This window comes from Homo sapiens, chromosome 3 (genome assembly GCF_000001405.40).
Source record: "Homo sapiens chromosome 3, GRCh38.p14 Primary Assembly".
Classification (NCBI taxonomy): domain Eukaryota; kingdom Metazoa; phylum Chordata; class Mammalia; order Primates; family Hominidae; genus Homo; species Homo sapiens.
Window position 1 is genome coordinate 181496470 of NC_000003.12, and position 13228 is coordinate 181509697.

Below are 13228 nucleotides of genomic sequence, written 5' to 3' on the forward strand. Positions count from 1 at the left end.
TAAAAGTGGCCTTATCCTTTAGCCTAATAATCTCACTTCTAGAAGATTACTTCAGGGAAATAATCAAAAGGAAGAAAAATTCTACATGTTCAAAGATGTTTGCTGAAGTATTATGTATATAATTTAGGATTTGGTAAAAATCTAGCTGTTTAACAATAGGGAAATATTTAATTAAATTGGAGTCTATCCACTTGAAGTGATAATATGTAATCATTAAATGCATAGTATAAAACGCTCATTGTATATAAATGCGTATATATGGTTAAACTGTGTGTTTATTTTATTAAACAGTTCAATCTCAATTAATTAAGCTATTGTCATATACATGTAACTGCGTGAGTACTACCTGGACTTAAGGGTGGGAAAAAAAAACGGATAAGTAGCACTCTTTATAAAATCTTGTCTTCAGAATGCTTAATTCTGTCTGGTTGAGCCACATGACACACTGATAGACTCTTAGGTTCCCAGGGTAATTATAGGCCACACCTAAGTAATCACCAGTTAGGCTTTCTCATTCATTGCAACTAGCTTCATGAAGCGGAGAAATTTACTTTATTGATTCTGGGTATTTTGCTAGCCTCTTCAAGTCATTTTGGAATCTTTTTTCAGGCGATATGAAGTATCTCTATATTTCAGTGCACATCTTTGCTATAGAAAAGTGATTTTCGGCTTTGCAGCCCAAAGATGCATTCCATGTATGAATAGGAGTCTTTGTGCCATAAGAGTAAAGTCATCAGCTTCTATGTGATGCAGAAGAAATGTTCATCTTCTAATGTGCATATATGTAAGCCACCTCTTTAAAATCAGCCCCTTTAAATGGCACTGAGTATGCTTCTGTGTATGACACATCAATGTCCATTAATTGCATGCAGAGAGAACTGAGATTCCAATGGCAAAATCTGTAAAAGTAGATATACAAAGAAAAGTGGAAGCATCTGTTTAATATATACGACATTAGAATTTAATTTTACCTCTGTGATGCTTTTGTGTGGCTGCAGTGTTACAGCAGAGCATATAAGCATAGCCGTGCAGTGTCAGCAGGTGCATGCCACCAAATTACTGCTTTTAATTTGCATATTCATCTGCTAAGAAGCATGTCATTATCATATCAAAGGGATACTAAGCAACATCTAGCTTGGAGAGATGTGGCATAGTTTCAATAGGAGCAATTAATGCAAGATGAGGACTCTCTTTCTGTCATGTCTCCCAGGGCTAGCTGTAATCGGGCTGATTATTGGATACCAATAAGACTGAGGGCCCAGTTGGCACAGAATAAGAGAAGAACTGGAAAGAGAGCCTGCTAGTCCTCTCTACTGTACACTTGATGGCAATTTGACACTCTGGCCACTCAAAAGAATCCTATTAATATCATAGAAGCTGTCTACATGCACCCATCTGTTTTAGTTGTCATAAAATGACCAAATGCAGCCCAAAAGTAATGTATTTTAAAAAAGAAGAATCTCGACAAGTGGGCGTGAAACAGAAATGTGAAAGAGGCATTAAAATTGTGTTTACACATATGGGTTTTAGTACCTAAGTAATTTTCATTTAACAAACATTGTCTTCTTTCTTCAAACATTTATTGAGCACCTACATATATGTCAGACAGTGTCAGAACCTACAGATACAGACATAAGCCAGTCACAATCCATAATATGAACAAACTTGCAGTTGAGCAGGGGAGGTGTAAACCAAACAAAACTTGGATCACATTTAATTTTTTGTGTTTATTAGAAAAGGTCAAAAACGTGCAAAACCATCTTTTTGATATGATAGCAATAACACAGTATAATTTCTTTCAAGGAAAGCCTTTTCAAGAACAGAATTTTTAATTTTAGTTAATTTTGGAAACTATATCACTTTTCCTTTCTTAATGAAAGTAGCTGGAAACAGTGTGAAAACTTGAATATTAATAGTTGAACAATGGAAATATCGGTAGTTTTAAAATTGTCCTATTGTTTCTCAATTTTTCATTGGATACACTGACATAAGTAATGCTTTTAAAAAGCAGGAACAATTCATAGTTTGCTTCTTACAGTGTCTAGGATGGGAAGTTACAAACACTTCATTAAATTGTTCAACAAGGCCAGGCGCGGTGGCTCATGCCTGTAATCCCAGCACTTTGAGAGGCTGAGGTGGGTGGATCACCTCATGTCAGGAGTTCGAGACCAGCCTGACCAACATGGTGAAACCCTGTCTCTATTAAAAATACAAAAAATTAGCCGGGCATGGTGGCGGGCACCTGTAATCCCAGCTACTTGGGAGGCTGAGGCAGGAGAATCGCTTGAACCCAGGAGGCAGAGATTGCAGTGAGCCAAGATCGCGCCATTGCACTCCAACCTGGGCAACAAGAGCAAAACACTCTCTCTCTCTATATATATATAGTTTTGAACACTCATCATGTACCAAATGCTTCTACAAGCACTGAGGATATAGCTATGAACAAAACAAGCCATTCTCCTGCCCCTGTGCTTACATTCATACATGCTCCTGTGTGTGAATAAATGTACCAGCCACATGCCTAAAGGAAAGCTCAATGACATTTATTCAACAAGGATTTAATCAACACCCTATATGCACCAGACTAGTCAATAAAGGGAATTTAAGTTCACCTTGGAAACTATAAAATGGCAGTGAGTACAAAAAAAGCTTTCCAAGTGGCCAGTAAACCTAGAACTGAATGGTTTATGTGAAGCAAGACTTAAGAATGTCTTCTTTTATGGGTGTCCAATCTTTCAAAGTAGTTTCAGACATCTCTAAAACCAGTTAATTCAGTATAGCTTCAGAAAGCTCACCAATCCCTTCACTTGTCAATCGTTGTTAAAATTCAGGGATGAGGTATTAGAACTTAGTGAGCATCAGATCCAGGCAATTCGTTTGCATCATCTAATTTAGTACTCAGACGAATCCTTTAAGATATAGGCTAATGAATCCAATTTGCAGATAATAAAACCAAGGCTCAGAGAGTTTATGTTTCCCAAGATTACCCAGTTGAGAAGTAGCTGAATAGGATTAGAACTCAGAGTTTTCTAATGCCAAATATGTGTACTATTCACAGCATGTTTTCTATAAACACAGCATTCAATATCCCAGTCTAATCTATTTTTTGGCAATGAACATGAATATCAGAACTAACTTATATGATTATAGTTAATCTTTTTGAGCAAGAACAATATTTGCCCAATACCACTCTTTTACCTTATTATGGTGGGAATTAAGGGTTAAATGATGTATACTGTATCAAAACTACTGGTTGAAATTTAAGCCAATGAACAAGAAAATGGTCTCTTTATATGTTGCTACTCTGGTTAAGTTTTTTACCAAATGAAAGGGTTATTTTTAACCTTAATCTTATTAAGTTTTAAATTAAACCTATGCTGAGAATTATGAACTGAGAGTTTTCATTTTTTTTTTTTAAGTTGGGTTTTTGGTAGAGTTGAAAAAGCTGCTGACTTGGGATTCCAAAGACTTGGGTTTAAATTTTGGCTTTAAATTTTGGTTGTCTGTGAATAATACTTAGCCATAAGGGTCTCAGTCTTTTTTTCTGTTAAATGAGGAATTTAATCTAGTTGCTGTCTCAGGTTGCTTCCAAGTCTAGCTTTCTATGATTCTATGAAAAACAGCTAGCAGGAGCTCTACTTTAAATACAGCAGATAAAATATTTGAACACCCCATACTTCCTGAATTCTTCTTTCCTGCAAAAAAAAAATAAAATTGTCTAGTATGTTTTTAAATAATGCCTTTAACCAAAACTTTAGCAGATGGTAATTATCGATTGCTCCCCTCTCACAAAAGTTGGTTACATTGCAGCAGTGAATGTTTACTTATTTCTTTGTTACAAAGAAGGAAGAAAGGAAAAAATGAGAAAAGAAAATGAAAGGGAGAAAGGAAGCCAGACTTGTGTACATGTATGTTACATACACACAGGTGATCATATTGTCAATTTTTTTAAGTTCTATGATTTGCTTCTACCATAGAAAAATAAAGACAATGTTACCCTTCAACAAGTGATATTCCCAGTAGCAATCATGGCATCCTCCCTTAAGTGAAATGGGAGGTTCTACAAATGCTAGAGTTCCGCAGAAATTTTTATTTATTTATTTCTTCTGTTAACAACAGTAAATTTTATGAATTAACTATGAATCAACTTATAGCTTTTTATATTTATAACTATAATTATTCATATTGTTTATGACTATCAAGTCAAACATCACTTAATTATCAACCACTGTAGGCATTTGGATATTTCCTTTTTCCTTTTTCTTTTTGAGACAGAGTCTCACTCTGTTGCCCAGGCTGAATTGCAGTGGCACACCTCGGCTCACTGCAACCTCTGCCTCCCAGGTTCAAGTTATTCTCCTGCCTTGGCTTCCCGAGTAGCTGGGATTACAGACATGCACCACCATGCCCAGCTAATTTTTGTTTCTTTAGTAGAGACTGGGTTTCATCACGTTGGCCAGTCTGGTCTCAAATGCTTGAACTCAAGTGATCCACCCACCTCAGCCTTCCAAAGTTCTGGGATTACAGGCATGAGCCACTATGCCCAGCCAACATTTGGATATTTTCTAACTGATTTATTTAAGCCTGAATTCACACAAGGAGGTCTTCAAGATTAATCTATTGTTTTTAAGAGACCCCAATTCAGATCAAAACCTTTTCTAACTTCACATATAACTCTGTTGGAAGCATACTCAAGGGAAAGCACCTTTCACAAATAAATGTCACTTTCAACTATCAGTTCACTTTTTCCCCTCTCATCAATCTTGGTACAATTTCCCAAACTTCTATAGAGTGAGTGCAGGTATAAAAAAAAAAACTCAATTTTTAAAAAACTTGGTACAGATTTTTTGTTTATTATTCATAATCCACAGAGGAAAGTTTTGTGTCATCTGTTATCTATATGGCTTATAATGGTGACAGAGATACTCAGCAAGTCCATTTACAAACCTCTGATGTCCATTTTCAGCTGCTGCGGTAGGGAATATGAACCATCAATGCTTTCATTGGAAGGATTCAAGGTACTTCACACCTACCTCATGGAAACAAGAGGTATTGATATATTATCGGATTTTTAGGTTTCTAAAGAAAGATAAAGAGGCTACTTTCATTCATTTATATATGTATATATTAATAACAGTGAGCTAAGTGGACACAGTAGAACAAGAAAACGTAGTGTTCTTTAGAAAGCCTAGGCTTTATTGGTGCAATTCAAATGGCCAGATATCACATTTATGTCTAAAAAAGAAAAACAAAAAATTTTAAGTGATGACATGGGTTAAAATTGAAGAAAGAACTCTAGTATCACACGTCAGGCTTATTGCTGATAGGGGAAGGTAGATACGAATAAAGGAAGATAAAATTGTGCCATTGACAACATGGGGAAAGTGTGTCATGGTACATTTTGTTTTAACCGCATAAGAGATGAAGGGTAATAGATCCATTATATGCTGTATTATGCCAAATCATAGCTAGAAATCCTTGATCCATTTCAGAAGAAATACTTGGCAGCAAAGAGAAATGAATGCTTAATTATTTAATTAAAACTAACCTAAAACAAGGACAAATCCTGAAATTATCCACAACCACATGACATGAGGTAGATTTAGATGGCAAAAGGAAATTAACACTTTCCCAAGTAGAAAATTAGTGACATACAGGTATTTTGTTTGGCTGCTTTAAAAGTAGGAAAATTTTACACTTAAAATAGCTAGTTTGTTTCTCTTTTCTTAAAAAGTCAAAAGACTTTAGAGCACTGACTTAGATTTCTACATGACAATTGGAAGAAACTAGACAGTGGATGCCCCCTTCGAATTGAGTCTCTTCTATTTTACCATAATCCCCACCAGCCCCTTTCATCTTACCTGCAGCTTGGTTACCTACCTGATCCCCTGTAGGTTTGTTTGTTTGTTTGTTTTCTTTTTTATTTTTATTTTTTTGAGATGGAGTCTCACTCAGGCTGGAGTCCAGCTCAGGCTGGAGTGCAGTGGCACGATCTCCGCTCACTGCAACCTCCTTTCTTCGCCTCCCCTGTTCAAACGATTCTCCTGCCTCAGCCTCCCAAGTAGCTGGGACTACAGGTGCATGCCACCACACTCGGCTACTTTTTTTTCTATTTTTAGTAGAGACGAGGCTTCTCTGTGTTAGCCAGGATGGTCTCAATCTCCTGACCTCGTGATCCACCCACCTCGGCCTCCCAAAGTGCTGGGATTACAGGCGTGAGCCACCACGCCCGACCCCTTGTAGGTTTTTGAGCATTCAACCCCTGATATCCCAAGCATTACTCTGGGCCACATATTTTATCCTGGTAATCCTTGAAAATATCTCAAGAGACAGCATTATTCACATTTTAAAGACAAGAAAACCAAAGCTCTGGGAAATCAGGTAACTGGCACAATTGTTAATCTAATATAGACTATCATGCTCTTTCTTTCCTCTCTCCATAAATAATGTTTTAAGGATTAGAAAAGTTTAGAACAGCCTGGGTGCGTGGCTCACACCTGTAATCTCAGCACTTTCAGAGGCTGAGGGGGGTTGATTGCTTGAGCCCAGGAGTTTGAGACCAAAGTGGGCAACATGGTAAAACCCCATCTCTACAATAAATACAAATATTTGCCAGGTGTGTTGGCATGTGCCTACAGACCCAACTACTTGGAAGGCTGAGGCGGGAGGATTGATTGAGCCCAGGAGGTTGCAGTGAGCCGAGATTGCGCCATTGTACTCCAGCCTGGGTGACAGAGTGAGACTCCGTCTCAAAAAGAAAAGTTTAGACCAGTCATTTTCAAAGTTACTTGCATATTAGAATCAATTGAGAAGCTTAAAAAAAAAAAAGTGTGAGCTCCATCCCAGGCCATATAAATCAGAATCTCTCGAGGTGGTTGCAGGCAAAGATTGTTTTTAAGTTTCTCAGCTGATTTTAATGTTCAGCCAGGGATGCAAATCCCTAGCTTAGGTATCAAAAGACAAGATAACTTCCAGTTTCTGCTGAATTTTGTTTTTAATAGTTTTAAAACACATACAAAGTCAGACAGGCTTTTGGCTTTACAAAAAACAATGTACTTGAATGTTTTACTTTTCAAAGTGTATATTGAGTTGTATCAGCAAAGCATTAACAAAACTCCTAAAGTAAGTTGGATTTGACCTAACTCTACATGGATTTTATATAGCCCTGTTTGTTAAAGTACTGAAACAAAATGAGTATTTGAATTCTGGTGACTGTTTGCTGTAGGTATCAACTATCTTCACACAGCTGAATTTAAACTTTGCAGGAGGCCGGGCGCAGTGGTTCATGCCTGTAATCCCAGCACTTTGGGAGGCCAAGGTGGGAGGATCGCTTGAGCCCAGGAGTTTGAACCAACCTGGTCAACATAGTAAAACCCCATCTCTACAAAAAATAAAATAAACTAGCCAAGCATGATGGTGCACACCTGTAGTCCCAGCTACTCAGGAGGCTGAGGCAGGAGGGTTGCTTGAGCCTGAGAGTTGGAGGCTACAGTCTAGGCCACAAAAGGAGACCCTGTTTCTAAATAAATAAATAAGTAAAAATAAAAAATAAACTTAGCATTTATAAGGCGCAGCTGTCCTCTCACTATATTCAGCAATTAAGTTTTATTATGGTTCCCTGGGCAAAGCTTGCATCTTTTCTGATGCCTTAGGCTTGCTTTAGGTGGTACACCAAAAGCCCAGTTTCATCAATCAGCCAAAAAAATAATAAAACTGATTGACTACTTTTTTAAAATAAGAAATTATTCTCATTTAACTGGTCAAATTGTTGTAGGTGTGCTTGTTTGCATGTATAGGCAATCTGTAATATTAATGCATATAACTTTTTATTAAATTATTGGAAAAATTCAAAGTAATGTTTTTGTGGATCAATCCAACTATGACTGGCCCTGAACAAAGGAGGATGAGAGTTGAAAATGTAATTATTTACTCATGGCAAAGTGTGGCATAATTTTTGCTTTAAAATAAACTCCATGCATTATAGATGAGAATTTGTTTTAGAGGTCTCATTCGGTCAGAAAAAAGCCGTGCAGATTCTTCCTTCTTTTGAAATATGTCTTTACCAGTAACTGTACTGGAAATGATTCTACATTAAAGTGAGTTTTGATACAAATTTAAAAAGCAGCACCATCTAAAATTAGAATTTACTTCAGACGTGACTTATTTTGATGCATCATAAAATTATGAAGATCAATTATGAAGCAAGTTTTAAGATTGCGATGTTCTCCATTTTTGCAAATAGAGCACTAGCTAGTAAATTTTAGAATTTGGATATTCATCCAAAATTAGAAGCTAAAGAAGCACTGGAGTTGGCTATAATTAAGGCATGGGTAAGTGGAGACCTCATAAGCCTGCTTTCAACAGGTATATGTTAATCACTTGGCGTCAGCAGCCTCTATTCACATCCCCAAAGCCAGCTCATTTTAGCTCATTAATTCTCAAAGCGTCTTCATAAGTAGGAATGCTTATAAAAATCTATTTTGCAATAGAATATAGGGAAAGAAACTATACCTTGTCAAAGGTGAGACTGAAACTTTTTAAGGGGAATTTGTATTATTTTAATTATTTTTATGTACAGAAAACTCAGCAGTGTACAGTTAACCCTTTAGTGGCGACTTCTTTAGCCTTTGCCTTTCCAGCTTGGCTATGTGAGCCACAGATATGGGACCCAGGACAATACCTCCCCAGTGACAACAGATCTCATCATATGTGTCATTGTAATTAGTCCTAATAGCTTCCACCAGCTTAGCCAAAGCTCTTTTGTCTTCTGAGCTAACCTATGTGAAGGCAACAGTGGTACAGGTCTTCATAAATATCCCAGTCTTGCCTTCCCCTTAATAATGCAGTAAGGGACCCCCATTTTATGAGACGGGGCAGACGGGTAGACAACCAACTCCATGAGATCCACGTCATGTGCAGTCACTACCAGTTGAGCCTTCTTGTTCTCCACCAGCTGAGCCTTCTTCTTCTCCACCAAAGTGATGATGGTGGTAACTCCTTCTAGAAGGACAAGTGGTCTCTTGGTGGGGATGTCCCCTTTGCCAGTAGCTTTCGTCTCAGCATGGGCCAATAGTCTCTTCTTCTGTTCTTTCCATGTCTCTGGTCTGTACTTGTGGGCCAGCTTAAGCAGCTGAGTGGCTGTTTTGGAGGTCCAAGGCCTGGGTAAACTGGTTAATTGCAGGAGGCACTTTCAGCTACTTATAGTGGATAGCTCTTTGACACGGCAACCTGATATAGTGGGGCCATTTGACAAAGCAGGTGAGGTCCCTTTTGAGCTGAATATCCTGTCCAATGGCAAAATTTTTAGGCCTTTTCTCTAACAGGGGATTCACCCCTTTCCTGGCCTCCTGCTTCTTCAAGACAGCAGGGTCTAGAGCCACCTTCTTCCCGTTGGCCTTCTTTCCGTGTTTTGGGTGGCAGAAGAGACAGTGAGGTTGAAATTGTAATAAAGTTTAGATCAGGGTATTGGACACAGTATTTTAGCCTGTATGAGGTAGATAGGTAGATAAGCACATACATACATACATAAATACATACAACATATATGTATATGTATGTATATATGTACATATTTACACTTACACCAAATATAGATATGTAATACTTAGAAATACAATGTACATTTTGATATTAATGTCATGATATCAAATTCCATATGATGACATAAACTTTAGAGTCAAGTTGTAAATAACAAAAACTGATTCAAACCAACCTAAACAATAAATGGGATAAATCCTATTTATCCCTTTAACTAGTATAACCAGCATAGCTAACATAACTATAAAATGCAAGGGACAGACCTGGCTTCATTCAGTGACAAATGATATCATCAGGGCTCTATCTTGGTGTGCTTCTCAGACTGTGTCCACTTGGCATCAAGGTGGTGCTGGCAGCCTCCTTTCCCCTAACCCCACCATCATTCCCATTGTATCAGCTCAGCAGCCCCTCCAAAAAATAATTTTTCTTTCTCAGTATCTGTAACAGAAAAGCCCAGGGCAGGATCCTGATTAGCCTGCCTTGGGTCATTTGCTTGCCCATACTGATCACTGTGGCCTGAAGTATAGGGTTCTCTGATTGCCCATGCCTAGGTCATGTGCCCACCCTTGTGTCTGGGTGAGGGACGAAAGGGGCAGTGTCTTTTTGCCTTCACCAACCACGTGAATAGGGTTCCCTCATGGAAAAGAATGTTCTGATACGAAGAGAATGTAGAGAAGGGTAGTGCCTACATAAAAATAACATATGTTCTGCTTCAACAAACAAGGCCCTTTATACGTGGCCCCTGCCTAGTAGTGTAGATCTTTTGGCTCTCATTCCCCATAAATACATTAATTCTAGTCAGACCCAGTTACTAGAGTTTCCTAAACTTGATGTGGTCGTTGACTGAATGAATGAGCAACTGTATCAGTAGAGGTGCCTCTATGCTATTATTAAGTTTGTAGAAAACTTGAGGCCTCCTGAAGAGTCCAGATTACGTAAAAAAAAAGTCATGTTCCTAAATGATCTTTATTATTTTATAAGGTATTGACTAAATATGAAAGTGGACTCATTGATGATGTTTATATATGATATTGACTAAATATGAAAGTGGACTCATTGATGATGGTTATATATGAATGTACTTCTACTTATGTATGCAAATATCTGTCTCCTTTCTTAGAATAAAGGCAGGAACCCATTTGTGCTTGCAGCCTTCAAAGAACCTACTATAATGTTATGCACTTACTATGTGATTAGTAAAAGTTTCAGAACTAAAATGTATTAGTTCCAGTTCTTAGGCAGGGCACTTCTTGCTTTTCCAGGATGGCTATTTTCCCTCAGGAAGCTACCAAATACTATGATTTCCATCTGTATATCTGATGAAGAGACTCTGCCCAAGTGTAAATATTCTGACCTGTTAGTAGTTGCCCAGAGCAGCCTGCATAATAAAAATTGTGTTTCCTGATTTCTAGATTGAAGTTGAGCACCAGAGCATTCTAGAAATATTAGGGTCCATGGGTGGCCAGGTGCAGTGGCTCATGCCTGTAATCCTAGCACTTTGGGAGGCTGAGGCAGGCAGATCACTTGAAGACAAGAGTTCAAGACCAGCCTGGCCAACATGGTGAAACCTCATCTCTACTGAAAAATACAAAAAAAAAAAAAAAAAAAATTAGCTGGGCATGGTGGTGCATGCTTGTAATCCCAGCTGCTTGGGAGACTGACACATGAGAATCAGTTGAACCCAGGAGGCAGAGGTTGAGGTGAGCCAAGATCATGGCCCTGCACTCCAGCCTGGGCAACAGAGTGAGACTCTGTCTCAAAAAAAAAAAAAAAAGAAAGAAAGAAAAGAAATATTAGAGTCCATGGGTGATAAAACTCCTAGTTACAGAGTTGCCTCTATTATTTGCAGGCAGATTGGCCTAACCTGTTTTTTAAAAACGCTACAGGCATTTTTAGAAGGAAGTACTAAATATGCACCAATTAAAATTTGTTCTGTGAATTCTTTTTCTTTAAATATGGGTCAAATCTACCATATATACTACTGTTAATAGATCACATTAGTATAGTGATTTATAATCTATAAATTCCCATTCATAAATTTCATAATACTTATAACTCATGTAAAAGTTAAAAAATACAAGGTTTTAGTTGACAGCAAGTATAAAGTGAACCAGTAAGTGCTTAGTTGCCAAGAAACCTAATGCAATTTCAGACTACATCAACAGAAGTAAATGTCTGGACAAAGGAGGTGATATTTTCATTGCCATCTGTACCAGTTAGAAAACATCTGGGGTGTTGTTTAGCTATGGGCTTCATCAAGTTCTAAGAGGGACATTGATTGACACAGCTGGAGTTTTTCCAAAAGATAGCATCCCAGAGGGTGTAAGAGCTGAGGCCAAGTCACATGAGTAACAGCTGAAGGAGCTGAAGATACTGAGTCTTAAAAAGAAACCCACAATAGTTAATTGAAAAAATAGCAACAGACTCTAAATACTAATAGGGCGAATTCTTAAGAATTAGAATTCTTAGGAGATAAGAATTAGACCTTTTCCACAGATGAGCTAAAAGCTACACATTTTGATTCAATATACTTTAAGTTGTCCTAACAAAAATATTGTTTGTTTTCAAATGACATGATGATTTACCTGTCACTGGAAATTGTAATTCAAAGTCTGCATGATTGTGTATCAGGCATACCAGCTCTACCATCTACTAGCTCTGTGATGTTGGACAAGTTACTTTACCTTGCTGAGTCTCAGTTCTCTAATCTTGAAAATGAATTTTTAGTATTATTGGAAGGATGACATGATTATTTACCTGTCACTGGAAATGATAATTCAAAGTCTGCGTGATCGTATATCAGGCATACCAGCTCTACCATCTACTAGCTCTGTGACATTGGACAAGTTACTTTACCTTGCTGAGTCTCAGTTCTCTAATCTTGAAAATGAATTTTTAGTATTATTGGAAGGATTACATGAGACAATGCAAGTCAAGCCATCAGCACTGTCTGCTCAGAGTACATGCTCAATGAGGGGCAGCATTATTATTAGACTGACTTGCAAAGGTCTTCTCTAAACTATGCAATAATAATAGAGGAGGAAAATAATAGTAGGGTTTAATTCCCTAGGCCCTCTACCTAACCAAAAATTGAAAAAGATTGGTGTGGAAACCTTTGTCTTCTATTGTGTTCTACAGTGATTGATGTTAATGATACTTTTGTCTTGAATTTTCTTTGAAGCCTCAGCCAAAAAAATTATCATTTTTCTTTCCTAATAAGCAAAAAATGTTTATTGAATACCTCCCTGACTTTATGGAATACCAGAGTATTATTTTTAAGCACTTGAGGAGGAGAGTTACTCAAGAGGTGGTGGAAGTAGAAGAGGGTGGATGTTGAGCCAAGCAAAGGCCAACTTACAATTTGTGATATATGCCATGCATAAAGAAATAACGTGAGACACTTAAAGTGGAATACATATAACAGAAATGTATAATAATATGTAGCCCAAAAGCAAGATAGAATTGATGGGAACCATTCAAATTCCATCAAATCACAAACATTTGGTAGGCACCACGTAAGACTTTGAAGAATAAAAGTGAATATAGGACATATAAAAATAACTATAGGAAATGATCTCTGCCCTAAGGATTTTACACAGAATAGTCTGAGAGACAGAAATATGTAGAATTCATTGTAAACACAAACAAAACAATTTAAAGCAAATGCCATGTGATATGGTTTGGCAGTGTC

The 13228-nt window shown here is 37.5% G+C and overlaps 1 long non-coding RNA gene and 1 pseudogene across 3 annotated transcripts in view; one reads left to right on the forward strand and one right to left on the reverse strand.

Annotated features, from left to right (window-relative positions):
* Positions 1-13228, forward strand: part of SOX2-OT (SOX2 overlapping transcript) — a 685549-nt gene that overhangs the window by 439790 nt on the left and 232531 nt on the right. The gene's annotated exons all lie outside the window — the stretch shown is intronic.
* On the reverse strand, positions 8540-9426 carry RPL7AP25 (ribosomal protein L7a pseudogene 25; annotated as a pseudogene).